Source organism: Homo sapiens, chromosome 3, assembly GCF_000001405.40.
Source record: "Homo sapiens chromosome 3, GRCh38.p14 Primary Assembly".
Taxonomy (NCBI): domain Eukaryota; kingdom Metazoa; phylum Chordata; class Mammalia; order Primates; family Hominidae; genus Homo; species Homo sapiens.
The window spans coordinates 53,267,960-53,295,958 of record NC_000003.12 but is presented as its reverse complement, the minus strand read 5'-3'; the positions used below and the strand labels follow the sequence as shown (position 1 = coordinate 53,295,958).

General features: G+C 45.3%; 1 protein-coding gene, 1 long non-coding RNA gene and 1 other non-coding gene across 7 annotated transcripts in view, besides 6 other annotated features; 2 read left to right on the top strand and 1 right to left on the bottom strand.

Annotated features, from left to right (window-relative positions):
* Positions 1-12,530, top strand: part of DCP1A (decapping mRNA 1A) — a 64,115-nt gene extending 51,585 nt beyond the window's left edge. For all 5 annotated transcript variants that reach the window (NM_001290207.2, NM_001290206.2, NM_001290204.2 and 2 more), the window contains 4 exons: positions 3,132-3,890; positions 5,103-5,168; positions 7,676-7,894; positions 8,299-12,530. In NM_001290207.2, coding sequence (NP_001277136.1) covers positions 3,132-3,890; positions 5,103-5,168; positions 7,676-7,894; positions 8,299-8,379 — 1,125 coding nt within the window. In that variant the 3' untranslated portion in view covers positions 8,380-12,530. The remainder of the gene's footprint in view (positions 1-3,131; positions 3,891-5,102; positions 5,169-7,675; positions 7,895-8,298) is intronic.
* Positions 84-25,985, bottom strand: LOC107986087 (uncharacterized). Its single transcript, XR_001740702.3, has 4 exons — positions 25,779-25,985; positions 2,953-3,060; positions 2,051-2,103; positions 84-383 (listed from the first exon to the last, which is right to left on the bottom strand). It is a non-coding gene; the product is annotated as an uncharacterized LOC107986087 (long non-coding RNA).
* Positions 813-1,312: an enhancer, noted in NCBI's record as "H3K27ac hESC enhancer chr3:53328677-53329176 (GRCh37/hg19 assembly coordinates)". NCBI's record gives its function as "activates a minimal SCP1, AML or CMV promoter by ChIP-STARR-seq in primed H9 embryonic stem cells {active_cell/tissue: H9 hESC(primed)}" and the evidence as "EXISTENCE:reporter gene assay evidence [ECO:0000049][PMID:30033119]".
* Positions 1,313-1,814: an enhancer, noted in NCBI's record as "H3K27ac hESC enhancer chr3:53328175-53328676 (GRCh37/hg19 assembly coordinates)". NCBI's record gives its function as "activates a minimal SCP1, AML or CMV promoter by ChIP-STARR-seq in primed H9 embryonic stem cells {active_cell/tissue: H9 hESC(primed)}" and the evidence as "EXISTENCE:reporter gene assay evidence [ECO:0000049][PMID:30033119]".
* LOC124906364 (small nucleolar RNA U13) lies at positions 12,660-12,763 on the top strand. Its single transcript, XR_007096331.1, has one exon. It is a non-coding gene; the product is annotated as a small nucleolar RNA U13 (small nucleolar RNA).
* Positions 22,008-22,560: an enhancer, noted in NCBI's record as "H3K27ac-H3K4me1 hESC enhancer chr3:53307415-53307967 (GRCh37/hg19 assembly coordinates)". NCBI's record gives its function as "activates a minimal SCP1, AML or CMV promoter by ChIP-STARR-seq in naive H9 embryonic stem cells {active_cell/tissue: H9 hESC(naive)}" and the evidence as "EXISTENCE:reporter gene assay evidence [ECO:0000049][PMID:30033119]".
* Positions 23,656-24,541: an enhancer, noted in NCBI's record as "H3K27ac-H3K4me1 hESC enhancer chr3:53305434-53306319 (GRCh37/hg19 assembly coordinates)". NCBI's record gives its function as "activates a minimal SCP1, AML or CMV promoter by ChIP-STARR-seq in primed H9 embryonic stem cells {active_cell/tissue: H9 hESC(primed)}" and the evidence as "EXISTENCE:reporter gene assay evidence [ECO:0000049][PMID:30033119]".
* Positions 25,159-26,358: an enhancer, noted in NCBI's record as "MED14-independent group 3 enhancer chr3:53303617-53304816 (GRCh37/hg19 assembly coordinates)". NCBI's record gives its function as "activates an origin of replication core promoter dependent on BRD2, BRD4, P300/CBP and CDK7 cofactors, and independent of MED14, by STARR-seq in HCT116 cells {active_cell/tissue: HCT116}" and the evidence as "EXISTENCE:reporter gene assay evidence [ECO:0000049][PMID:35650434]".
* Positions 25,205-26,081: a transcriptional cis regulatory region, noted in NCBI's record as "candidate enhancer chr3.2458 targeted for multiplex CRISPR interference". NCBI's record gives its function as "positively regulates TKT gene expression with high confidence in K562 cells {active_cell/tissue: K562}" and the evidence as "EXISTENCE:mutant phenotype evidence [ECO:0000015][PMID:30612741]".

The following is a 27,999-nucleotide window of genomic DNA, read 5'->3' as shown; positions in this document are numbered from 1 at the left end:
GTCACGCCACCGCACTTGAGCCTGGGCGATAGGGCTAGACTGTGTCTCAAAAAAAAAAAAAAGACCACATGGTGTTTATGTGATTATAGTTTAAGCCAACTTCAATTTAATGCTTTTTGGGCACCAGACATTATATTGAGAATTTAATTTTCACAACAGTGTTCTGAGATCATTGTCACAATGTCCTCGCTTTTCAGATAAGGAACTAAATTAGAAGGATTATGCTGGGCTCAATGGCTCACTACAAAAAATTTAAAAATAAACTGATCATGGTGGCATGCACCTGTGGTCCCAGCTACATGAAAGGATTGTTTGAGTCTGGAAGGTCAAGGCTGCATGAGCTGTGATCACACCACTGCACTCCAGTCTGACTGAATGAGACCCTGTCTCAAAAAAAAGAGAAAGAAAAAGAAAGATGATGTAATTTTCCCAGTTAACAGCTGAGGTATCTTTTATTTCAGACCCTAAACTCTACAGTTTTTTTCAGAAGTAAAAATATGAAGAAATTGAACCATATAAGATCTTTAGTATTTTTTTGTATCCATGGTCTAAAATTAGATACTGATGCTGCCTTATATTTGAAGTGAGAGTCTAACATTAGTAGAATCTCTTTATTGAATATTTTTAAAGGTGAAATGGTTTGGTATGAAGCTACAACTTTTTTACAACTGTGGGAGGTTCTTGCCTCTTCCTCCACAACAGTTACTTTTTACTGACTACATTTTTTCAGACCTGCCCTGTCCCTCTCACCTAGCAGATGATGCTGTCCTCATACCAGGGAGAGAAGACAGAATGGCACTCCCTTAACTTTCTGTCCTTCACATGCAAACTTGCCTGCATGCTCATCGCTGCTGGCCCTCTTTCTCTGTTGTCTGACAGGAGCCCCTCCTGACACAGGATCTCTTGCCTTAAGCTCCCTCTCCTCATACTGACTTCCCCCTACTCCCCGAAAGAACTTTGGAAGAGAGCACTGTTGAGTGTCTGCCATGTACTGATGGGATCTGTGGTCCTGGGTGGTGGTGCCATTACTTGGGTAGGCAAGTCCAAGAGCAAGAAAGGCAAGGATTGGGGAATACATGAGAAAGAGAGCCCCTGCCTTGGCAAATTCGCTTTCCATGTTGTTAGGAGTGCTGACATTAAACACACACTTCCTGTGTGCTGGGTTCCATACATTTCAGCCTCCCACCAGACCTCCCTACTTTATAGAGGCCTGAGACTCAGAGAAGTGGACAGCACTCCTCAGGCCACACAGCTGGAAAGGAGCAGAGCCAGGCAGCGGCAGTCATCTTCAGGCCCTGCCTGTGGGTGGTTGATAGGACATCACAGCTGTGTCGCTGCAGCCTCCTGAGGGGATGCCTTTGCTCCCTTGACTTGTATTACCATCTTTGTGTTTTAATAACCCAAAATGAAATTACCGTTTTGTGTTCTAAGTCAGTACCTCCAGGTTCTAGATGTCCCACAGAGACCTCCAGACATGTTCACAACTAACTTCAGCTTCCCCCTCTCCCTAACCCTAGGTGCTCTTCCTGGGCTGGGCTGGCCTGCCCAGGCAGTGATACCACCACCCAATACCCAGATACCAGGGTGTCCTCTAGGCTCCCTGCTCCTACCTGACCAGCCACCAACTCCTTCCATTCCAACTCCAGTTCTCATCCTCTTCTCTGCCAGTATCTTAGTCCAGACTCTCCTCAATCTCACCCCTACAATTTGTCCTTTATGTGGCCGACCAAGTGCACGTTCTAAAATATAAAGCCTGATGGCTCATCCCCTGGACATGTTGCCATTGCCCTGTGGATAAAGTCCAGATCCTCTAACGTGTCTCAGATACTCTGCAGTCTGCCCGCTTCTTCTCTCTTTCCCTGTCACCCTCCTACCCAGCCTCTGATCCAGCTGTGCTGAAGCACGTGTGGCTCTCAGTGGCTGTGCTCCCCAGCCAGCTCGCCTCATCCCTCCCCAGTTTCACTCCTCTTCCTAGTGCCTTCCTTCCCACTGAGCTCTGCAACTCTGCCTTGTGTGTGTGTGTGCGGGGGTCCGGTGGGGGGGCCCTTACCAGTTGTCCTGGCCTCTTTTTTCACATCACAGTCACAGCACAATGCCTGGCACCTGATAAATTCAAGAATTTTTATCAAATGGATGAAACATTTGCCTGGACAAAACTGGGTTTGTTTTCCTGTAGAAATGTGATCATACCATAGTCTTATAATATTGATATTATACTAATTTGCAGTGTACTTTGGGGCCTTACAGACTTTCTGAAGCCTTGAGAATCATGTGTTTCAGTGAACTAATTTTTTCAGTATAAACAGATCTAAACAACTAATTCACTCATTTTAGGAATAAAAAGTTGAGGCTGTCTGTGTTTTCAAAGTGCTTAGGTGTGTCTCCCACTAAAATGTAAGCTCTGTGAGAACTGTTGTTACTCCCTTGCTGCATCGCGTGGGCCCAGGTTAGAGCAAGACCTGGCACCCTGTGAGTACTCAGGAAATAAAGGTTATTGACTATGGAAATACTGCTTAAAAGTACAGGAAAACACGAATGTTTTTCCTTTGAACGATTATGGTATCAATAAGCCAACTTACTAAAATATATATAAATTTTAAATTGTCAGGCTTACATGCTTTTTCTGAAGAATTCTGTGACTAGGGACTAAGGCAGTGGGAGTTGGGGATGGCCCACTATTAAATGGCTAGATTTATTTTCTGATATTTGAGACCCAGTCTCTGAGGTCCAGTGCCTAGCGTTTCATTGAGAACAGTGAAAGTAAAGGTAGAATCACCTGATTAGCATTTGGTCCCTGTGTCTCCTCTAGTGTCATTTCCCTGTGTGTTGTTGACATGAGGCAATTGGGCACAGTCAGCTTTGCCAAGAAAAAGAATGGTGAATTCTGATCCTGCTACCCAGAGACCCTAAAAATTTGAATTATATTACCAATGCAAATTTCCATCCACCAACCTGGGGACACTAGATGAACCTGGGCCTTAATCCTTAGTATATCTTCAGTTTTTTCCGTTCCTTATTTTGATACTCCATCCATCCTTGATTCTGCAAAATCTTTGGCTTCTGGAAAAGAAGTTTGGTTATGCTGATTTATAACAGACCTCTTTGACTGGGTGGTTTCATTTGTTTTTCAGTCTGCTCCATCTGGACACAAGCATCTGACGGTAGAAGAGTTATTTGGAACCTCTTTGCCAAAGGAACAACCAGCAGTTGTGGGTCTGGATTCAGAAGAAATGGAGAGGTTGCCAGGAGATGCCTCCCAGAAAGAGCCCAATTCATTCCTACCATTTCCCTTTGAGCAGTTAGGAGGAGCCCCTCAATCAGAAACCCTGGGTGTCCCTTCTGCTGCCCACCATTCAGTCCAGCCTGAAATCACCACCCCGGTGCTAATCACTCCAGCCTCCATCACACAGTCCAATGAAAAGCATGCTCCAACCTACACAATCCCGTTGAGCCCTGTTCTCAGTCCCACTCTGCCAGCTGAAGCTCCTACTGCACAGGTTCCCCCCAGCTTACCTCGAAACAGCACCATGATGCAGGCAGTGAAGACCACGCCTAGACAGAGGTCTCCACTCCTGAACCAGCCAGTCCCTGAGCTAAGCCATGCCAGTCTGATTGCCAACCAGAGCCCCTTCAGGGCCCCATTGAACGTGACGAACACAGCTGGCACATCCCTCCCAAGCGTTGATCTTCTCCAGAAACTCAGGTTGACCCCACAGCATGACCAAATACAGACACAACCACTTGGGAAAGGTGCAATGGTAGCCAGCTTTTCTCCGGCAGCTGGTCAGCTAGCCACACCTGAGAGCTTCATAGAGCCTCCCTCTAAGACAGCAGCAGCAAGAGTGGCGGCCTCAGCCTCCCTGAGCAACATGGTGCTTGCTCCCCTTCAGGTAATGGCAGGAGGGTGGGGGTGGGCAGAGTGGGTAACTGTAACTGGATGGGATGAAACTACAGAGACCTTGGTTTTAACTGTCATGACATGACAATTTTTAGAGTTGTCCCTTTAAAGTATGTCAGAGGCTCGGAGACAGGTGAGGTAAGAAGCCCTATCATGAACAACCAAGTAATTTATATTTTCCTATCGGGATATTCACTTTAGTGGGGGTTGTATGTTTGTTTTGCTTTTGCCCAGCAGTTCCAGGAGTCCTCATTTGACTGAGGACCAAATTATTCCAAAGCTTAACTCCCTATCTCCCACGGCAGTCTCCTAGAGTGCCTACCTTGTGCCAAGTACCCTAGAGGTGCCATAAGAGCATCCTAGACTCGAAGGTATGAGGTCAAATAAAGCTGATTTTTTCAACTGCCCATATTTACATCACCTTATAAAGAGGTGCCATGCTGCCTAGATCTCTTATCTCTACAGACTCAGCAGCAAAAATATGCCCAGGCTGAAGGACAGATATCACATGTTCTTACTTTATTTGAACTCATGGAGATAGAGAATAGAAGGATGGTTACCAGAGGCTGGGAAGGGTAGTGGGAAGGTGGGGGGAGGTGGGGATGGTGAATGCATACAAAAAAAAAAAAATAGAATGAATAAGACCTGTATTTAATAACACAACAGGGTGATTATAGTCCATAATAATTTAAGTATATATTTTAAAATAATGAAAAGGGTATAATTAGATTGTAACACAAAGGAAAAATTCGTGAGGGGATGGATGCCCCGTTTTCCATGATGTGATTATTATGCATCGCATGCCTGTATCAAAACATTTCATATACCTCATAAATACATACACCTATATACCCACAAAAATTAAAAATTATATATATTCCTGGGCTGTCTCTGGCTTTTATAAGAGACACAGGTTTCAGGTTTTTCTTTAAAGATACCTGAAAGGCTCTGCACACACCCCTTCCCTCAGGAGCTAAAGAGGAGAGGCTGTCGCAGAGCTCTAGTGCAGTTGAATTGTTGGCTGCATGGTTACAGGTTCCTGTCAGACTCTTCCCTTGGGAATCTAGGAACTAGTTAATATCTGAACCATTTTCTGTTACTAACCTAGATTTTCCACTGGGAAAGTCTTTTTCAATTAAGACTAGGAAGTCTTCTTAATTGAAACTTCTTATATCCGTCTGTCTTTTCTTCATAAACATTTCAGTCTATGCAGCAGAACCAGGATCCTGAAGTATTTGTGCAGCCTAAGGTGTTATCCAGTGCCATCCCGGTAAGGACTCGCTTTTTTTTTTTTTTTTTTTTTTTTTTTTTAAGACTAGTCGGGTGCCATAGTGAGAAAGTAGAAAGAGTAGAACAAGGAATTTGGTCTGTAACTGGCTGTGAACAGTCAGGTGAGATAATTCACTCCCTTTGGACCAGCCAGGACTCCCTCTTTCTGAAGAACACATTATTTTTAAGTTCTGCTGGATGTGAAGTAAAAGGTTGTCAGCTTAGTGAAAAGAGTTAGCTATGGAGCCCAGCACATCTTAGATGCCTTTCCTAGGCCAGGTCCTCTCCCACCCCGTCCTGGCAGAGTCCATTGCTGTGGCTTCTGTGGATCTCGAGGCGTCTGCATGGATATCTTCCCTGACTGTGTGTGTAGAGGGCACGGTGGGCCCTTACTCGGTATTTGTGAATGGGTGACTGCTAAGAGTGTGGTAGCCTGGCTTCTATAAGTAGGAAATACTGCCCTGGAAGAGCTGTGATGTCCCAGGTGGCAGAGCCACTATCCTGCTATAGTCCTCTCATTTCCCATTGCTCTGAGAACAAAGCCTCCCAGGCCTGTGTCTTCTGTCCCATTTGTCCTCCCTTGCTTCATTTTTTGTTGTCCCTACTCTCCATCACCCACTAACCTTGCAATGCACACAGGTTTTTTTTTAGCTCCCTAAAGTCATTTCTGTTTTCCTTTGAGCCTTTGTACCCTCCTTGAGTCTTGGAGTTTAAATGGGAACCAGCTTCTGACTGGTCTTACATCTTGGAGTTTAAATGGGAGCCAGCACCTGACTGGTCTTGGAAACGAGCCTCTTTTCTATGTGTCTTGTCCTTCTGCATGGTGATCTATCTCAGCCTGCTTTTGCACCAAAAATAAATAAATAAAAGGTAAATAGCTCAGATGCCAAAAACCATACCGTTGAAACTGTGGCCCGCTCTGTGCTCTTTGTAAATGAGGAGGTGACATATAAGAGAAAGAAATGCAGATCTCTGTTGATTGTATCAAATCTGACAAATACTGAAAATACTGATTATTACTGGTTTAATGTATTCAGATAATTAGCTGGAATTAGCCTAGAAGCACATCTAAATGGAGGAGAGAGGTAGATGTTAGCTTTATTTTAAGAAATTTTCTCATTGCTATCTATAATAGTATAAAAAAATAGATTGAACATAACTGGATTTTTTTTTTTTTTTGGAAGCAGAGTCTTGCTTTGTTGCCCAGGCTGGAGTGCAGTGGCACTATCTCAGCTCACTGCAACCCCCACCTTCTGGGTTCAAATGATTCTCCTGCTTCAGCGTCCCAAGTAGCTGGGATTACAGGCTCCCATCACCACACTCCACTACGTTTTTGTATTTTTAGTAGAGATGGGGTTTCACCATGTTGATCAGGCTGGTCTTGAACTCCTGACCTCAAGTGATCCTCCCACCTAGGCCTCCCAAAGTGCTAGGATTACAGGCATGAGCCACCACTCCCGGCCATAATTGGATTTTTAAATTCTTCTTTATTGCAATGTGATTTACATAAACTGAAATGCAGATTTTTAGAGGCCAGGTGTGGTGGCTCATGCCTGTAACCCCAGCACTTTGGGAGGCCTAGGTGGGAGGATCACTTAAGCCCAGGAGTTCAAGACCATCCTGGGCAACATTAGTGAGACCTCGTCTTTACAAAAAAATCAAAAATGGGGGGAGGATTGCTTGAGCCCAGGAAGTTGAAGCTGCAGTGAGTGGTGACTGCACCACTGCACTCCCACCTGGGTGACAGAATGAGACCCTGCCTTAAAAAAAAAAAGACGAGATGGAGTCTTTCTCTGTCACCCAGGCTGGAGTGCAATGGTGCAGTCTCGGCTCACTGCAACCTCCACCTCCTGGGTTCAAGCGATTCTCATGCCTTAGCCTCCTGAGTCTGGGATTACAGGCACACGCCACCATGCCCAGCTAATTTTTGTATTTTTAGTACAGACGGGGTTTCACCATGTTGGCCAGGCTGGTCTCGAACCCCACCTCGGCCTCCCAGAGTGCTGGGATTATAGGCATGAACCACTGCGCCCAGCCAAAACATGCAGATTTTTAAATGAGTTTTTGACACATGTATGTAATATCCCTTGGGCAACCCAATCAATATGTAACATTTTGTCACTCCAGAAAGTTCCCTCATGTCCTCTTCAGTCATTTCCCCAACTCTCCTCCCAAAAAGCCTTTACATTTTAAATTTATCATAGGATTTTTCTTACTGTGCATTCTATACTGTTACTTCTCTTACCTACTGTGGTGGTTGGACTTGGCTTCCCGTAATGATTCTAGGACATTCTTACATAAATGGGCTGGTCATCCTTTAGCTAATGGAAGTTTATAACCAGATGTCAGATGTTCACATGTTCCTACTGAATGTTTACCTGAACTCAAAATAGTCTGTCTCTGTGCTCCACTCTTCTGCTGCTTATGCCTGTTTCCACATGGTCCCTATTCTGGGCCTGGCTACTGGCTTCTGCACTTCGGTACAAAATGACCATTGTCACTCTCCAGGTTGCAGGCGCCCCACTGGTTACTGCAACGACCACTGCAGTGTCTTCAGTCCTGCTGGCCCCAAGTGTTTTCCAGCAGACAGTTACAAGATCTTCGGACCTTGAGAGGAAAGCCAGCTCCCCTTCTCCTCTAACTATTGGAACGCCAGAAAGTCAGAGAAAGCCTTCCATTATTCTCAGCAAGTCTCAGCTCCAGGATACATTAATACATCTAATAAAGGTATGTAGGATACCAATTTTATCTTTGATTTTTCATTATTTAATGAAAGAAATTTTATAAATTCCTCTTACAGAATCAGTTCATAAAGTAAATTCAAAAGACTAGCTGGAGGCCAGGCAAAGTGGCTCACACCTGTAATCCCAGCACTATGGGAGGCCAAGGCAGGCAAAAAAAAAACAAAAACAGACTAGCTGGGAGTACTGTTTCTCTTTTTTTAAGCATACAGTCCTGGTGGAGAAATATCTGCATGAACTCAAAATATTAATCATGATTGTCTCTGGGTGGTGGGATTATCAGTTATACAAATCATTTATACAATTTTTTTCCTAAGCTGTTACCAAGGAAGTAAAATCTGATGAGGTAAATGTGGCATTCGTATCCTTAACCTTTACCATCTCTTCTAGAATGATTCCAGCTTCCTCAGTACACTTCATGAAGTCTACTTGCAGGTTCTGACCAAGAACAAAGACAACCACAACCTATGACTGGAGCAGAATAAGTCTAAAGGCAGAGCCCCAGCCTCAGAGACAAATAGGCTTCATCATGGAAACTTCTGAGCAGAACATTGAGTTTGAGAATCCTGAAATTGAGCCTATGAGAAAGAGACTCATTTCTTAAGAATGTTTTCCAAGTGACATTCTCAGTGATAATGGAGGTTTCACTGTGAAGCATCACCAGCAGATCCTTGTTTTGACAAAAAAAAAAAAAAAAAAAAAAAAAAAGAGAGCGATCATTGTGTTAAGTTATGTGGGTGTTTTCATCAGCTAGGAGCAAGGCTGTGGAATAAGGAGTCAGATTCTCAGCTTGCTTTCACTTTCAAGGACTTACAGAGGAGTAGTCACCAGCCTCACAGCAGAAGTTCAGCCCGGCCCCCACCGCTTCCCCCAGCCTACCCCATAGAAACGGGCTTTGGGCTGACAAGTCAAGTTTTGAACAGAGTAGAAGGCAGCTCTGCAAAGTAGCTTCTAGTTTTTAGGACCAGAATTTAAGCCGGCAAATTAGGAATTATTTCCTCAAGTGAAGTATATTTTATATGAATGCCCCATTTGGGCCTTAAAAGTTGTGAAATTTCTTAATAGCATTTTGTTTTTAAGTGCCCCAGTCCTGCCCTGCAGCAGGCCCCCAGTGCAGCATTACCATTTGAATAGGGCACTGTCAGGCTCTGGTGGTGTGGACACAGGCATGTCATACCTTTGAAGGAAAGGCTGGGGCTGGGAATGCCCACATCCTATCAAATCTTCATTTTAGGTTAAACTCTCCATTGGTTCTGAAAATGCTAAGTTTGTGTGTGAAGCACAGCCTTATTTTCCTTTTCTGTCATTGTTGATTGTTTTCCTTAACACTTTGACAAAAGGACCAGTGGACCAATCTGACAAAGCCATTCTGGTTCCTTTCCTTGAGTGTACTGAGAATAGTTTTAAAGCTATGCAGAAAAGGGAGCTGTTATTCACACTGCCCTTATTTTGTTGTAGAATTATGGAGTTAAAAGAAAATGTGATTCCGAACTCTACCAATGTATTCCTAGGCTGTGAGTACTTTCCCGGCCCAAAGTGTGAAAATATGTAAAGAAGCTTTGTTATGCTGCTATTGATCTGCCATGATTTCTATTTATTCTTTTATGGCATGTAATGGTGTTTAGTAATATTTTAATGTAGATTTTGATTTATTTCAGCAATAGTAATTTTAAGATATTCTTTGAATGAAAGTGTCTTCGTTTCTATGATACAGGTCATTTTGTAGTATTTAACCAATTAAGATGCACTGCTTACTTTTCTGAGCACTATTTAATGATGGGGTAAAAACCCAATTGGCTCAACCAGCTAGCATAAGGATTAGCTGTGAATAATGCTGACAGATATGATGGTTCCTTAGGAACAATCATTTAAGCTTTAATGGTAACTCAATCATAAGTCCATAGATTATTTTTTTCTAGCTAAAATTTTAGAAAATTACTTGTGAATTACATACTTGTTTTAGTTTGGTCTTAGTTTTTAGCATAAAGAATGATTGGCTTTTGTTGATCTAAACATGCTTCCTGGACAGGGTTTCTGCTTCTCATTTTAGTGTCTTCTATTGCTGTCTACCTAATTATGTGTGAATTGTGCAGAATTCAGGGAAGCTTATAAGTTTTCATGCTCAATTGTGAATAGTTTGTTTTCACAGATAGTATGTAAATTAAGCAACCAAAAATGAATTCCTTATGCATCATCTGGGAACGAGAAAGCTATAGTGGGATACAGAGTGTTGCTGACACCGGGAGATGGTGTCCAGGGAGCCACGTGACTTCCATAAAGTGGACGCACCAGTAGGTGTGATTGCACCTCAAGTGTAGTCTCAGTGGGCTTCGGTGAACAGACGAATCAAGGGATTCTTGAATCGAAATTATGCTTTTGAGTATGTAATATTATGAGAGAGTTAAGAGAGAATATCCTAAAGAGAGTCTGTGATCATACTAATTTTCACCTTTAATGCTAGGAATGGATATGATAGACAGTAAAGAGCATCTATGATAAGGCTTCCTTAGTGTGAAAGTAAACTTAAGTGCCCAAGTCATGGAGACTTGAAAAGGGTAAACCTGTTTCACCTCCCAAATTTATATATTCAAAGTATTTACTTAAAATTCAGAAGCCAGAAGTTCATGTCATGATTACCAGGAAGTTCAGGCCAGAATGAATCCCTAGAGAAGCCAGGCCAAGCCTGGATAATTGCAGCTGGATGACCCTGGCCCGAAAGTCACAGTTCAGTTGCCTTATTCCTAGTTCAGGCTTACTATCTAGAACCTCATGCTAGCTTAGGTTGCATGTTTACATTGCTGCAGTGTCTTTACTGGAAGCTTAGTTGGATCGAAATGGACACCGAGATGGAGATGCTTCTGGCTAGATTTCGCAGAACCCCAGGAGACCTGCATTTAGACCACTCTGTCCATTTGTGTGCCCACCCCCACCCCCAGGGTCTAAGTGTAGACTCCAAGAGGAGCAGCCCAGAGCTTGGAGGAGAGGTGTGTCTGGGGCACCACTGGTGGGTGGTGCTGCTCTTCTTTTTGTTGTAGTTAATGCGGTGTCTTTTAATGGACTCTCAGGCCTCCCAGACAGCCTTGTTCCTTTAAGGCAGAAGCTCTTCTTCATTGTGTACCTCCTGGGATTCATGAGGTGTGAGATTTGGCCTGCTTGACTTTGAATTCAAGTTTTTCAAGTGACTCTCAGTGTCAGAAGAAGCATTTCATGCTGTCCACATGTGGTATGTCCACAGCTCACCTTCAAAGGCTTAGATGTAGCCATCACAGAGAGTGGTATTTTATTAAGAACCCAAGTCCCAGCCTGACCAACATGGTGAAACCCCATCTCTACTAAAAATACAAAAATTAGCCGGGCGTGGTGGCACGCGCCTATACTCCCAGCTACTTAGGAGGCTGAGGCAGGAGAATCACTTGAACCCGGGAGGCAGAGGTTGCAGTGAGCCAAGATCACACCACTGCACTCTAGCCTGGGCGACAGTGAGACTCCACCTCAAAAAAAAAAAAAAAAAAAAAAAAAAAAAAGTCACGCTGGGCCCCTCTCTACAGGGGGACACACAGGCTTAGTTTAGTATATGTCTAACCAGATTTTGCATGTCAAGCATTTGTCCTTTTCCTGGCTTATGTTTTCTTGTAGAAATTATATAAACCCTATCAAATCCACTACTAGGTAAATTTTTAAACCATGCAGCTTTATTACTCTCCTCCCCCAAAGAATGTAGTTTGAAATTTTCTCATTTCCATAGTAGAGGCCCTAACTGCCATTGTATTACTAATAATGCAACATGAAATTGAAGGTGCCTAACTGCTCAAAAAACAAAATCAGCCATCATACTGTAACTCTGAGAGGAATGAGAGGTGGCACAGGCACGAGTGGGCTCAGCCCGTGTGAGTGAGGAGAACTGAGGAATCCTAGGGTGCGCATCCTGCATCCTGGCTGCACGTTTGCTGCAGAGTATGTTTTTCTTTCTTGCCTCCCTTCAGTTTTCTTCAGTTGCGTTCAGTGTATCTTCTGGAACCAATAGTGCCCTGTGTTCTCAAGTCTCTAAAATGCTAAGATCTGAGCAAAGTCAAGCAGCTTACACTAGGCTTTTTTACAGCTGTGCTTGAGAACATTTCCGAGTGGACCAGGGCCTTGAGGAGCCTGTTTTTCAGCAAATTCAACAGATGTGTGCAGTGATTCCCTCCGTTTTGTATTTGACACCTTCATTTAAAATGCTAAGATGCAATATCATTCACTTCAAAGTGGGGAAAATGCAGAATTGTGTTTCCTTTTTATCTGTGTGATTCCTTAAGAAACATGTTTTTAAAATATGTGTTCTAAATGGTTTTTTATTCTGTATTACTGCTTTGGCCATGTGGCTCTCATGACTTTCATTGTACCAGATTCTCAGCTCCCTGAAACATGGGGACGAGAAGCTCTGGAATTACAGCAAGATTTTTGTTCCATGAGCGCAATACTGTATCATTAACATTTTTAATGGTATGGATTTTATAGCATCTGTGTATGTTTGCAAATATTAAGTTATTACATGTTTTAAAATGAGCGTTTTTCATCTTAAATTTTATATGTTTGCAAATATATTTTTTTAATAAAATTTCAAAACCAAGTTTTAGCACCTACTAAAATTTAATTGTGTTTTTATTTAATTTGTAGAAATAGGGACTTTTGAATGAGTTGCACTTTTGCAGAGTGCCATACTGGTGAAATGGGATGAGGCAAAAAAACAGAACCGACAAAACTGTTATCAGATCCTTTTGTACTTCTTAAGCATAAGGATTAGGTGTTCACACACAGGTGTGAGATGGGCCATCCTGAAACATTGCTACAATGTCGGCATATTACCTGTCTGACACAGAGAAAAAAGAAAACTGTTATCTACCTGTTTCCAGCCTGTATAGTCAGGGTTCTCCAGAGAAACAGACCTGAGAGAAGATAGAGTTATGTACCATGTGATATTTCAGTCAACAACAGACCACATTTATGACAGTGGCCCCATAGAATTACAACCCTATTTTTACCCGACCTTTTCTGTGTTTAGATACACATATACTTATCCTTGTGTTACAGTTGCCTACAGTATTCGTACAGTCACATGCTGTACAAGTTTGCAGCGTAGGAGCCATGGGCTGTACCATGCATGTAACATAGGTGTGTAGTAGGCTATGCCATCTAGGTTTCAGTTGCCCACAGTCAACCCAGGTCTGAAAATATTAAATACAAAATTCCAGAAATAAACCATTTTAAGTTCGATGCCGTTCTGAGAAGCATGATGAGATCATTCGCCATCCCACCTGGGCTGTGAATCATCCTTTGCCCAGCAAATCCACGCTATATATGCTGCCCACCAGTTAACCACTTAGTAGCCATCTCAGTTATCAGACCAACTGTCGGGGTATTGCAGTGCTTGTGTTGAAGAAACCCTTATTTAATAATGGCCCCAAAGCGCAAGAGTAGTGATGTGGCAAGTCAGGTATGCCTAAGAGAGGCCATAAACTGCTTCCTTTAAGGGAAAAGTGAAAGTTCTCAACCTTTTAAGGAAAAAAAAATCACATCTGGCTGGGTGCAGTTGCTCACACCCATAATCCCAGCACTTTGGGAGGCCAAGGCGGGAGGATCACCTGAGGTTGGGAGTTCGAGACCAGCCTGACCAACATGGAGAAACCCCATCTCTACTAAAAATACAAAATTAGCCGATGTGGTGTCGTGCCTGTAATCCCAGCTACTGGGGAGGCTGAGGCAGGAGAATTGCTTGAGCCCGGGAGGCAGAGGTTGCAGTGAGCCGAGATCATGCTATTGCACTCCGGCCTGGGCAATAAGAGGAAAACTCCATCTCAAAAAAAAAAAAAAAAAAGAAAAGTCACATCTGAGGTTGCTGAGGTCAACATAAAAATGAACTTTCCATCCATAAACTTTTGAATAAAAACTTTGCTCTAGTTTTGCCGTTGCTTTTTTTTTTTTTTTTTTTTTTTTTTTGACACAGATTCTCTGTCGCCCAGGCTGGAGTGCAGTGGCGTGATCTTGGCTCACTGCAACCTCTGCCTCCTGGGTTCAAGCAATTCTCGTGCCTCAGCCTCCCGAGTAGCTGGGACTACAGGCATGCGCTGCACACCGGGCTAATTTTTGCATTTTTTGTAGAGACAGGCGTTTGCCATGTTGGCCAGGCTGGTCTTGAACTCCTGACCTCAAGGGATCTGCCTACCTCAGCCTCCCGAAGTGCTGGGATTTCAGGTGTGAACCACCATGCCTGGCCTGCTGTTGCACTTTAAACTGCAAGTTATAGCCATGGTGTGTGATAAGATGGAAAAGGTGGCTGGGTGCGGTGGCTCACACCTGTACACCCAGCACTTCGGGAGGCTGAGGAGGGAGGATCACTTAAGCCCAGGAGTTCAAGACTAGCCTGGGCAACAGAGCAAGACCCTATCTCTACAAAAAAATTAAAAATTACTTGGGCATGGTGGCTTGTGCCTATAGTCCCAACTACTCAGGAGGCTAAAGTGGGAGGATCACTTTAGCCCAGGAGGTGGAGGCTGCAGTGAGCCATGATTGTGCCAGTGCACTCCAGCCTGGGTGCCCAAGACCCTGTCTCAAAACAGAAGATGGAAAAAGCATTAAATCTCGTGGAAGACATGAACAGAAAACGTGTTCTGATTGACAGTATGTTGCACCAAAAAGCATTGAGCCTATACAAAGACCTAAAAGATCTCTTGAAATGGGGACACCAAGCCATTTACTGCAAGAAAGGGATGGTTACACAGATTTCAGGAATACAGAAGGTCAACAGTAGCCTAATGCTATATCACAATGCCTACGCCATCACCTCACTTCTCATCATGTAGGCATTGTACCATCTCACATCGTCATAAAAAAGGGTGAGTAAAATACAATAAGATACATGGTAGATGATATAGATAGATGATAGATAGATAGATAGATAGATAGATAGATAGATAGATAGATAGATGGCTTTTTGTTTTGTTTTTGAGGCACAGTCTGTCCAGGCTGGAGTGCAGTAGCGTGATCTCAGCTCACTGCAACCTCCACCCTCTTCCAGATTCCAGTGATTCTCGTGCCTCAGCCTCCCAAGTAGCTGGGACTACAGGTCTGTACCACCATGCCCAGCTAATTTTTTTATTTTTTAGTAGAGACAGGGTTTTGCCACATTAGCCTGGCTGGTCTCAAACTCCTGACCTCAGGTGATCTGCCTGCCTCAGCCTCCCAAAGTGCTGGGATTATAGGCATGAGCCACCATGCCCGGCCTACAATAAGATATTTTAAGAGCCAGGCATGGTGGCTCACGCCTGTAATCCTAGCACTTTGGGAGGCCGAGGCGGGTGGATCACCTGAGGTCAGGAGTTCAAGATCAGCCTGACCAACATGGTGATACCCCATCTCTACTAAAAATACAAAAATTAGCCAGGCATGGTGGTGCATGCTTGTAATCCCAGCTACTCCGGAGGCTGAAGTAGAAGAATCACTTGAACCTGGGAGGTGGAGGTTGCAGTGAGCCAAGATCACACCATTGCACTCCAGCCTGGGCAACAGGAGTGAAACTCCATCTCAAAAAAAAAAAAAAAGATATTTTAAGAGAGAGAAACCACATTTACATCACTTATTATAGTATATTGTCATAATTGTTTTATTTATTATTAATCTCTTCCTGTGTCTAATTTATAAATTAAACTTTATCGTCGGTATGTATGTGTAGGAAAAACATAGCATATGTAGGGTTTGGTACTGCCCAAAGTTTAAGGCATCCACTGGGGGTCTTGGAACATGTCCCCTGGCAGATAAGGGGGGAGTACTGTATAGAGGAAGATATTTATTATAAGATAATGGCTCGGCCAGGCACAGTGGCTCACACCTGTAATTCCAGCACTTTGGGAGGCCGAGGTAGGTGGATCACCTGAAGTCAGGAGTTTGAGACCAGCCTGGCCAACGTGGTGAAACCCTGTGTCTAGTAAAAATACAGAAAAAAATCAGCCAGGCATGGTGGCAGGCACCTGTAATCCCAGCTACTTGAGAGGCTGAGGCAGGAGAATCGCTTGAACCTGGGAGGCAGAGGTTGCAGTGAGCCGAGATCACACCGTTGCACTCTAGCCTGGGCAACAAAAGTGAAACTCCATCTCAAAAAAAAAAAAAAAAAAAAAGATATTGGCTCACATGGTTACACAGGCTGAGAATTCCCACTGTCTGCTGTCTGCAAGCTGGAGACCAGGAAATTCAGTGGTCTAGATTCCAGACCAGGTCTGAAGGCCTGAGAACCAGGAGCACTGAAGGCAAAAGATGGATGTCTCAGCTCAGGTGGTCAGGCAGAGTTAATGCATTCTTATTTATTTATTTATTTATTTATTTATTTATTTATTAGAGATGGGGTCTCACTACGTTGCCCAGGCTGGAGGAACTCAGGGGATCCTCCTGGGAACTGCTAAGGACAAACCTGCCTCCCATTCTATTCAAAGTCATCCCTCTGCTCACTGAGATAGAAGCATATTCTGATTGCCTCCTTTGGAAAGGCTTATCAGAAACTCAATGCAACCATTTTTCTCTCACCTACCTATGACCTAGAAGCCCTCTCCTTGCTTCGAGTTGTCCCCTGCTTTCTGGACAGAACCAATGTACTTCTTTTTTTTTTTTTTTTTTTTGAGATGGAGTCTTACTCTGTCGCCCAGGCAATCTCAGCTCACTGCAACCTCTGCCTCCCAGGTTCAAGCAATTCTTCTGCCTCAGCCTCCTAAGTAGCTGGGACTACAGGCATGCACCACCACGCCAATTTTTGTACATTTAGTAGAGATGGGGTTTCACCATATTGGCCAGGCTGGTCTTGAACTCCTGACCTCGTGATCCGTCCACCTCGGCCTCCCAAAGTGCTGGGATTACAGGCGTGAGCCATCACGCCCAGCCACGCATACTGTACTTCTTACATACATTGATTGATGTCTCATGTCTCCCTAAAATGTATAAAACCAAGCTGTGCGCTGACCACCTTGGACACATGTCCAGGACTTCCTGAGGCTGTGTCACAGGCACGTGTTCCTCAACCTTGGCAAAATAAACTTTCTAAATTAACTGAGACCTGACTCAAATTTCCAGGGTTCACACTAACGTTCAGGTCTTCAACAGATTGCAAGGTGCTCAACCGCACTGCTGAGGGCAGGTCTGCTTTGCTCAGTTCACCCATTCAAAGGCTAATGTCTCCCAGAAACACCCTTGAAGGCATGCATACCCAGAAATCATGTTGAACCACCTATGTAGGCATCCTGTGGCTCAGTCAGGTTGACACATACGATTAACCATCACAGCCCATTCCCAGGCAGCTGGATCACAGGCCATATGGATTATTAGAACTGAAGCTTCTGAGTCCTGGTACCTATTAAATACTTCCTTCCTAGTAGCCACACATTGTAACTCATACGGGTAGACTTCTTTTTTTTTTTTTTTTTTTCAGACAGAGTCTCACTCTGTCACCCAGGCTGGAGTGCAGTGGCACGATCTTGGCTCACTGCAACCTCCACCTCCTGGGTTCAAGCGATTCTCGTGCCTCAGCCTCTCCAGTAGCTGGGACTACAGGCATTCGCCACCACGCCCGGCTGACTTTTTTTGTACTTATAGTAGCGACGGGGTTTCACCATGTTGGCCAGGCTGGTCTCAAACTCCTGACCTCAAGTGATCCACCCGCCTTGGCCTCCCAAAGTGCTGGAATTACAGGCGTGATCCACCGCCCGGCCTCATATGGGTAGACTGCTAAAGAACTCTCAGGTGGCAGGGTACAGTCGCTCATGCCTGTAATCCCAGCACTTTGGGAGGCCGAGGTGGGCAGATCACTTGAGGTCAGGAGTTCGAGACCAGCCTGGCCAAAATGGTGAAACCCCGTCTCTACTAAAAATACAAAAATTAGCCGGGTGTGCTGGCGCACTCCTGTAATCCCAGCTACTCTACTCAGGAGGCTGAGGCAGGAGAATCACTTGAACCCGGGAGGCAGAGATTGCAGTGAGCCAAGATCGCACCACTGCACTCCAGCCTGGGCGACAGAGCAAGACTTTGTCTCAAAAAGAAAAAAGAAAAAAAAAAAAAAGAACTCTTAAGTTTTCCCAGATACAGGGCGTAATTCTATTCATGGCCAAAAACACTTATTATAGGAGACTTTACAGCCTGAATCATTTCCCAGATTCAATCAATTCATGTGTCTTAAGCTCTTATGATGTGCTGGGCATCTAGGATGATAATGAAGAAAAGAAGAGGGGAGGGACGGAGGGAAGTAAAGCATAATTATTATAGAAAATAGAGAAAAGTTTAAATGAAAAAAGGTGGGTTTTTTGTTTTTCTGGTTTGGTTTTTGTGTTTGTTTGTTTGTTTGTTGAGTGAGGGTCTCAGGGTCTCACTCTCTCACCCAGGCTGGAGTGCAAAGATGCAATCCTGGCTTACTGCAGCCTTATTTTTAGCAGAGACAAGGTCTGGTTCTGTTGCCCAGGCTGATCTTGAACTCCTGGGCTTAAGCAATCTGCCCACCTTGGCCTCCTAAAGTGCTGAGATTACAGGCATGAGCCACCCTGCCCAGCAAAAAAAAAAAAAAAGGTTTAATCAGACATCTCTCTAATAATAGTTATCATATAATAGTGTAATCATTGGTGACAATTTAGTATAAATTCTCCCTAAAATGTTTGCTGTATTTGCCTGTCTTTGAGCTAACTCTTGCTGTATGACTGTTACACACACACCCCCCTCAGTCATCATTAATGCTGCATGCTCATTCATTCAACACTTTATAAGAATTGCTGTCCAGGTGGGTGTGGTGGCTCACACCTGTAATCCCAGCACTTTGGGAGGCTGAGGCGGATGGATCACCTAAGGTCAGGAGTTCGAGACCAGCCTGGCCAACATGGTGAAACCCCGTCTCTACTAAAAATACAAAAAATTAGCCAGGCGTGGTGGCACATGCCTGTAATCCCAGCTACTTGGGAGGCTGAGGCAGGAGAATCACTTGAACCTGGGAGTTGGAGGTTGTAGTGACCCGAGATTGTGCCATTCTACTCCACTGGCTCATGCCTGTAATCCCAGCACTTTGGGAGGTTGAGGCAGGTGGATTGGTCGGGCCCAGGAGTTCAAGACCAGCCTAGGCAACATAGCAAAACCCTGTCTCTACAAAAAAATACAAAAAATTAGCTGGGTGTGGTGATGGGCGCCTGTGGTCCCAGCTACTTGTGATGCTGAGGAGGGACGACTGCTTGAACCTGAGAGGCAGAGGTTGCAGTAAGCCGAGATCGCGCCACTGCACTCCAGCCTGGGTGACAGAGCCAGACCCTGCCTCATTTTTTTTTTAGCTCTGTCGCCCAGACTGGAGTGCAGTGGCGTGGTTTCTGATCACTGCAATCTTCACTTCTCGGGCTCAAGTGATTCTCGTGCCTCAGCCTCCCCAGTAGCTAGGGGGAAAAAAATTTTTTTTAGCATGGCCGAGCACAGTGGCTCCCGCCTATAATCCCAGCACTTTGGGACGCCAAGGCAGGCGGATCACCTGAGGTTGGGAGTTCGCAACCAGCCTGACCAACATGGAGAAACCCTGTCTCTACTAAAAATACAAAATTAACCAGGTGTGGTGGCGCAAGCCTGTAATCCCAGCTACTCGGGAGGCTGAGGCAGAAGAATCACTTGAACCTGGGAGGTGGAGGTTGCGGTGAGCCAAGGTCGCGCCATTGCACTCCAGCCTGGGCAACAAGAGTGAAACTCCATCTCAAAAAAAAAAATATTAAAGAATTGCTGTTGATTATTTTCCTGATCTTCACAATAACCCATGTTAGGAGAAGGACATTGAAGCTGAGAGTGACTGAGTCTGAGTCTGTGCCAAAGGTTGCATATTAAGCAGAGGTGGTCAAGGACCTGAACTAAGCAGCCTGGAGAGGTACTCTAGAATTCTCTTTTTTTTTGAGAGAGAGAGTCTCACTCTGTCACCCAGGCTGGAGTGCAGTGGTGCGATCTCGGCTCACTGCAACCTCCATCTCCCAGATTCAAGCAATTCTGCCTCAGCCGCCCACGTAGCTGGGACTACAAGCACATGCCACCATGCCTGGCTACTTTTTTTTTTTTTTTTTTTAATTTTTAGTAGAGACAGGGTTTCACCATGTTGGCCAGACTGGTCTTGAACTCCTGTCCTCAGGTAATCCACCCGCCTCGGTCTCCGAAAGTGCTGGAATTACAGGCGAGAGCCACTGCGCCCGGCCGGAATTCCTTTCTTGACTCCGTTGCCTAAGTGATAAATTATCCTTGAGGCTTTTCATAGTGTCTGAGGTCATTCACGTTACTGCTGTTTATTAAAAGCTTCTCACCTGCTGCTTTTCACCTGTCAAGTTCTAGGAAGCCAGGTAACCAAGTTCATTGGAATTTTGTGAAAAGCTTAAGTCAACAGGTCCTGAATAAGAGCTGTAGAGTTTCCTCTTTAAATTGAACAGATGGGTTTGAGATTTCTTGGTTGTCTCTAAAGACATTTTCCCTCACTGTTTATGGGTCCTTGTTCATAGATTAGGTGTTGCTATAAAAAATCTGATCTTTCAATAAGAAGTGTATGAATAACAGCTCGTTGAGTCTTCTGAAAAGTAATGTTTGTCTCAGCTGTCAGGACCCAGACAGTCTCTCTCACCAGAGGAGAGGCGGGAAGTGGTGCAGCCAGGCTGTCGATGAGCAGGAAGCCCACCATCAGATGAAGACAGAAGGAAGCAACAGCAAGAAATACCCAGTCACAGAATCAAACCAAGCTTGAAGCTCACCCTCCACTTCCATGTTTGACGCAGTATGAACTGGCTACCTATTACATGTAATATGAAGAGTCCTAAGAGCTTTCTAAAGGGCTTAGATCAATTCAAGATTCTAAACCTCTTAGAGTTTGCTGAATGGAGTTTTAGGTAAGAAGATAGCTGCCACACTCACACAGAGGTATAAGGAACCCATGCTGAGCCTATGCCATGGGGCTCCCAGCCCATGAGAGCCTTATGCACCTTGCATGTCTCTTCAGGTTCACCAGGCTACATTAGCCAAAAGTAAAGACAGCTAGGCTGGACACAGGTGGCTCACACCTGTAATCCTAGCACTTTGGGAGGCGAAGGTGAGAGGATCATTTGACCCCAGGGGTTCAAGATTGACCTGGGCAATATTGCAACATCCCCACCCCTTATACAAAATAAATTTAAAAATCAGCCAGGTGTGGGTGGTATGTGCCTGTGGTCTCACCTACTCTAGACACTGAGGTGGGAGGATCACTTGAGCCTAGGAGCTGCAGTGAGCTACGATTGTGCCACTGCACTCCAGCCTGGGCAACAGAGCAAGACTCTATCTCTAAAAAATAAACTAAGATAAAGTAAACGACTTTTAAAGTAAGCGACTTTTAAAGTAAACAACAATTAAACGACTGCTAGTAAGAGATTTCTTATAACCAGCAGAGATGGAATGGCTGGGGGAGAGGTGATGCAAAGTCAATGTGACAGTCACATCATGTTCAACCAACATTTATTTCAGATGAGTCTGAATAAATTTGAAGTGCAATTCCACAAGAAATCATAAGCTGACATTTGTCATGTTTGTCCCCTCCAAATCTGATGTTGAAATGTGATCTTGATGTTGGAGGTGGGTCCTGGTGGGAGGTGTTTGGACCCCAGGAGTGGATCCCACATGAATGGCTTCCTGCCTTTCTCGTGGCAGTGAGTGAGTCCTTACTGTTAGTTCTCAGGAGAATTGATAGGTTTTTTGGTTTGGTTTTTTTTGTTTTGTTTTTTGGGGTTTTTTGCTTTTTGTTTTTGTTTTTGTTTTTGTTTTGTTTTGTTTTGTTTGAGACAGAGCCTCACTCTGTTGCCCAGGCTGGAGTGCAGTGGCGCGATCTCGGTTCACTGCAACCATACCTCCCAGGTTCAAGCAATTCTCCTGCCTCAGCCTCTCAAGTAGCTGGAATTACAGGTGCACACCACCATGCCAGGCTGATTTTTGTATTTTTAGTAGAGACGGATTTACATCATGTTGGCCACACCGGTTTCAAACTTCTGACCTCAAGCAATCCATCCACCTTGGCCTCCCAAAGTGCTGGGATTACAGGTGTGAGCCACTGTACCGGGCCGAGAATTGGTTGTTAAAAGGAGCCTGGCACCTCCTCTCCTCTCTCTTGCCTCCCCCTTACCCTGCGATCTGCACGGACCACCAGCTCCCCTTCCCCTTCTGCCATGAGTGGAAGCTTCCTGAGGTCCTTGCCGGAAGCAGATGCTGGCTCCATGCTTCTGGCACAGTCTGCAGAACTGTGAGTCCAACAAGCCCCTCTTGTTTATTAATTCCCCAGCCTCAGGTGTTCCTTTATAGCAACACAGACTAAGTCAGTACATTCTCATTGATGCCTCCCCCGAGAGGCAGAGCTTATTCCGAGTGTAGCCTCCCAGAAGGGCCACAGTGCACACCTGTGCACACGTGCACACACACACAACACCAACTTCCTGTCACCCCAGGAAGGGACAGGAGCATTGGTTGTGGCAGGACGGATGTCAGTCCTTTAGTCTGAAGGGGCCCCAGATGGCCCCAGGCCCAGAATGTGGAGCCGGGAAGGTCGCCATGATCCACAGGGCAGCTGTTTTCCTACCAGGTCCCAGTCACCCCAGAACGGTGGTTCTGGCCTTGCCTGAGTCCCAGGGAAGCTCTAGGAGGCACCCTCTGCAGGCCGCTTCCCATCTTCTGTGGTGTCTCTGAGTCGGCAGTGGAGCTCTGGCTTCTGAAGCAGGTGCAAAGTCTGGGCCCCTACACAGTTTTGCTACACAAGCCCCATTTTGCTGTGTCTCTGACGTGTCCCTGCCCCTCAGAGTCTGCCCCTTCCAGGCCAGGTGTCCTTCCCTGAATAGAGCTTTCTAGCATGCTCTCCCCATCTCGCTGGCACTGAGAGGCTTCCCTAACTTCTGTCTGACGCCCTCCAGCCCGGCCCTCAGATGGGAAGGGGACCCTGGCCATGGTGTGCGGACCATCGCTCCCATTTAATGTGGGTCCTGCACAAGAGGCCTCAGCTCCACTGGACACCTCCACTCTTTTTAAAAAATATTTTATAAATCCTTCTTTGCTATCTTAACCTGGAATTCATAGATAATATAACTTATGGCTATACACACAATTTCTTCTTTTGTAAAACAGATCTTTTGTAAGAAGGAGCTTCTATTTTTTTCCTTTCATTTTTTTTTTCTTTACAAAAAACAAAACAGTCAGCCATGGTGGCTCATGCCTACAATCCCAGTACTTCAGGAGGCCGAGAGGGGAGGATCACTTGAGCCCACTGCACTCCAGCCTGGGCAACAGAGCAAAGTAAAAATAAAAAGGCTTGGCCAGGCAGGGTGGCTCACGCCTGTAATCCCAGCACTTTGGGAGGCCAAGGCCGGTGGATCACCTGAGGTCAGGAGTTTGAGACCAGCCTGGCCAACATGGTGAAACCCCATCTCGACTAAAAATACAAAAATTAGCTGGGCTTAGTGGTGGGCGCCTGTAATCCCAGCTACTAGGGAGGCTGAGGAAAAAGAATTGCTTGAACCCAGGAGGCAGAGGTTGCAGTGAGCCAAGATCATACTACTGCATTCCAGCCTGGGTGACAGAACAAGACTCTGTCTCAAAAAAAAAAAAAAAAAAAAAAGAATTTTTGAAATGATTTTTTGTACACACAATTTTAAAATAATATTCTCTAATTGTAATATAAAGGAGAAACGTTAATAATGAAATGTTTCATATTAAATATGTATGGGGCACACCTGTAGTCCCAGCTACTCAGGAGGCTGAGGCAGGAGGATTGCTTGAGCCCAAAAGTTCAAGTCTAGCATGGGCAGCATAGAAAGACTCTGTTTTAATATGGAAATGCTTGGGCACAGGTACACAGGTACACAAATTCCCAAAATACCCCATAGAGGACCTCCGGTCTTCCCTCTGAAACCTCTCCATACATCGCTGAAAAGCATGCTACTCTCCCACATAACATCTGTGGAGGAGCCAGCCACAGTGGCTCACGCCTGTAATCCCAGCACTTTGGGAGGCAGAGGTGGGTGAATCACTTGAGCTCAGGAGTTTAAGACCAGCCTGGGCAACATGGCAAAACCCATCTCTACCAAACATACACACACACACACACACACACACACACACACACACACACACAAAGCCAGATGTGGTGGCATGCACGTATAGTCCCAGCTACTCGGGAGGCTGAGGTGGGAGGATCACTTAAGCCCAGGAGGTCAAGGCTGCAGTGATCTGTGTTCACACCACTGCACTCCAGCTTGGGTCTCGAAAAAAAAAAAGAGTCGGCCAGGCGCGGTGGCTCACGCCGGTAATCCCAGCACTTTGGGAGGCTGAGGCAGGCGGATCACTTGAGGTCATGAGTTTGAGACCAGCCTGGCCCACATGGTGAAAGCTTGTCTCTACAAAAATAAAATTAAATTAACATAAAAAGAATACATATTGAAATGAATGTATTTCCTCAATCCCCTCTTCACCCATGCCAGCTAGACACAGACACAGTTTTGTTGCAGAAAATTCTGTTATTTCAAAACTGGCTGTCACCCCCTCCTTGGCGCCTTCCCAGATCAACAACCTCAGCAGGCAATTGTTTGTACAAATCACTGGACAGTGCGGTATAAACACGTGCTGCTGGGGCATCCAGCACCTGTGCCCAACACATAGACCCTGGTAAATGAAGTGTTGAGTGAAATCAGAGGACCAGTGATGGCAAAACCACTTCCCTGCCCTGACCAGATAGCCAGCAGCAGCACTTTTCTTTTTGCACAGTAGCATGGAACAAACGCTTTTTTTTTTTTTGGTGATGGAGTCTTGCTCTGTTGCCCAGGCTGGAGTGCAGTGGCGCCATCTTGGCTCACTGCAACCTCCACCTCCCAGGTTCAAGCGATTCTCCTGTCTCAGCCTCCCAAGTAACTGGAACTACAGGCACCCACTACCACGCCCAGCTAATTTTTGTATTTTTAGTAGAGACGGGGTTTCACCATATTGGCCAGACTGGTCTCGAACTCCTGACCTTGTGATCCGCACACCTCGGCCTCCCAAAGTGCTGGAATTACAGGCGTGAGCCACCGCACCTGGCCTAACAAATGCTTTTCTGATGCCTTGTCCAAGTCACTAGAACAGGATGGCTGACTGGGTGCCCTTGCTAATTCTGGAGGCAAGGATGGGAAGAGAGAGAGTAAAAGTCATGTGTCTGGGGGCCAAAGAACCCTGGTTTGGGAAGTGAGATATCTCCTCACTCACTTTCTCAGGTGACCTTACAAGGGAAGTGCTCCTGATGGTTTCAGGTTTTCCAGGAGGAGCTGTGGCTCACAGTGGTTAAGCAACCCCTCTGTGAGCCACTCTCTGGAGCTTTTTAGTCCTACTCTAAGAAGCCAGTTTCACTCTCAGCTGTTCAACAACCAGCCCAGGAGAAAATCCACTTAACCTCCCCACGACACAAAACAAAAGCTTTAATATTTAATACCCACTGGAACAAAATAGCTCCTTCCACCACCCCAGCCTTGCTCAGGGAAACCCAAGAGGTACCAGAAAAGGGGACAAGGATGAAGATCTCTCCCTACTGCGTCCTGCAGACTGTGCAGGAGGAGCCCCTAAGAGTGTCCTGTCTGTCACCAGCACCGCCCCTGCCCAGCCCAGCCTGTCCAGCGCCCCTGGGCAGGAGTTGACAGGGGCTGTAGGGCGTTGCTGGAAAGCAGCTCCTGCTCCTCACACTAGGAGGTACCCAGGCCTACGGCAGTGCCACACAGAGCCTGACCGCACTAGTCAAAAAGTGCAAGTCACAATGACTCGGCATGTTTTCTTTATGCACAAGGAAAGCAGGCCCGGCAGGGCTTGGCTGGCCTCACACTGGCACTTACCTCCGAGGAGTTCCAGGCCTCTCCAGCCCCAGGCCTTCTAGGGTGAGTCAGAGGGCCAACAATCCAGTCTGGCCCTGGGATTGGCCAGGGACAAGCAGGGTCATGTCTGCAGGGGCGACCAGAAAAAAACCCTCTCTCCTGGAGGCACAGTGCTAGATGGAGGGAAAGCACAAGTATTGTTTGTTGCAGTATAAAAGCAGAAGTATTGCAAACATCCAACCAAAGGGGGACAGTGGTTCAACTTCCTCTGTGCCAGTAGTAATCCTAGGGTAGAAAAGAATGTGGACTCACGTGGGGAAAGACGCACAACCTGTGGAGCATTAACATCTTTATTTAAAATATTGATGCAGACAGGCGGATCACCTGAGGTCAGGAGTTCAAGATCAGCCTGGCCAACATGACAAAAACCCGTCTATACTAAAAATACAAAAATTAGCCAGGTATGGTGGCACACGCCTGTGTACCAGCTACTTGAAAGGCTGAGACAGGAGAATCACTTGAACCTGGGATGCAGAGTTTGTGCAGTGAGCCGAGATTGCGCCCCTACACTCCAGCTTGGGTGACAGAGTGAGACTCCAACTCCAAAAAAAAAATGAGTAAAATAAAATATTGGGCCAGGCGCAATGGCTCACGCCTGTCATCCACGCACTTTGGGAGGCCAAGGTGGGTGGATCACGAGGTCAGGAGTTTGAGACCAGCCTGGCCAACATGGTGAAACTCCGTCTCTATTAAAAATTCAAAAAAATTAGCCGGGCGTGGTGGTGGGCACCTGTAATCCCAGCTACTGGGAGGCTGAGGCAGGAGAATCACTTGAACACAGAAGGCGGAGGTTGCAATGAGCCGAGATTGCACCACTGCACTCTGGCCTTGGTGACTGAGCGAGACTCCGCCTCTAAATAAATAAATAAAAGAAACACCTAGGTTAGTGTGTGATTGAATAACTGGGTACTAGTCTAGCCAAATTGACACATAAAACTGACCATCACAGTATTTTTGTTAAATTTCCAAATTTTCTACATGGAATATGTGTTACTTGTATAATATTTTTTAAAAAGCAATAAGTGACAAAACCACCGTAATGAGGTAACACTTTGCACCCACTAGGATGCTTCAGGTAAAAAAGATACAACAACAGGCCGGACGTGGTGCTCACGCTTATAATTCCAGAACTTTGGAAGGCTGAGGCGGGCAGATCACAAGGTCAGGAGCTTGAGACCAGTCTGGCCAATATGGTGAAACCCTGTCTCCACTAAAAATACAAAAAAATTAGCTGGGCATGGTGGTGGGTGCCTATAGTCCCAGCTACTCTCAGGAGGCTGAGGCAGGAGAATCGCTTGAACCCAGGAGGCAGAGGTTGCAGTGAGCCAAGATTGCGCCACTGCACTCCAGCCTGGGTTACAGAGCAAGGCTCCATCTCAAAAAAAAAAAAAAAAAATACAACAACAACTGTAGACAAAGTCATGGAGAAACTGGAACCCTCATTCATCACTGGTGAAACTGTAAAATGGTGGGGCCACTTTGGAAAATAGTTTGGCAGTTCCTCAAATGGTTAGATGACCGTTTGTAGAATTGCTGTATGACCCAGCAATTCCATTCCTGTGCATATACCCAAGATAACTGAAAACACAGGTCCACAAAAAAATGTTTATATCACCATTCAAAGCAGCATTATTCATAATAGCAAAGAAGTGGAAAAAAACCAAATGTCCGTGAACTGATGAATGGGTAGGAATATTGTGGCATATCCACAGGATGGAAAATTATTTATCAACAAAAGGAATAAAGTACTAATACAAGCGACAAGGCGGATGAACCTTGAAAACATCACACTGAGTGAAAGAAGTCAGACACAAAGATCACAAATTGCAATGGTGCCATTTATATGAAATATCCAGAATAGGCAAATCCATAGAGACCACAAGTAGATTCCTGGTTGCCTGGAATGAGGAAGAGGGAAAAATAGGGAACTATCAATGAGTACAGGTCTCTTTTTCTGGGTGGTAAAAATGTTCTAAAACTAGGCCAGGTGTGGTGGCTTACATCTGTAATCCAAGCATTTTGAGAGGCTGAGGCCAAAGAATCACTTGAGTGCAGGAGTTCAAGTCAAGTCTGGGCAACATAGGGACACCCTGTTTCTACAAATAATAAAAAAAACTGGCTGGGCATGGTGGCTCACACCTTTGCTGTCAGCAACTCTGGAGGCTGAGGTGGGAGGATGGTT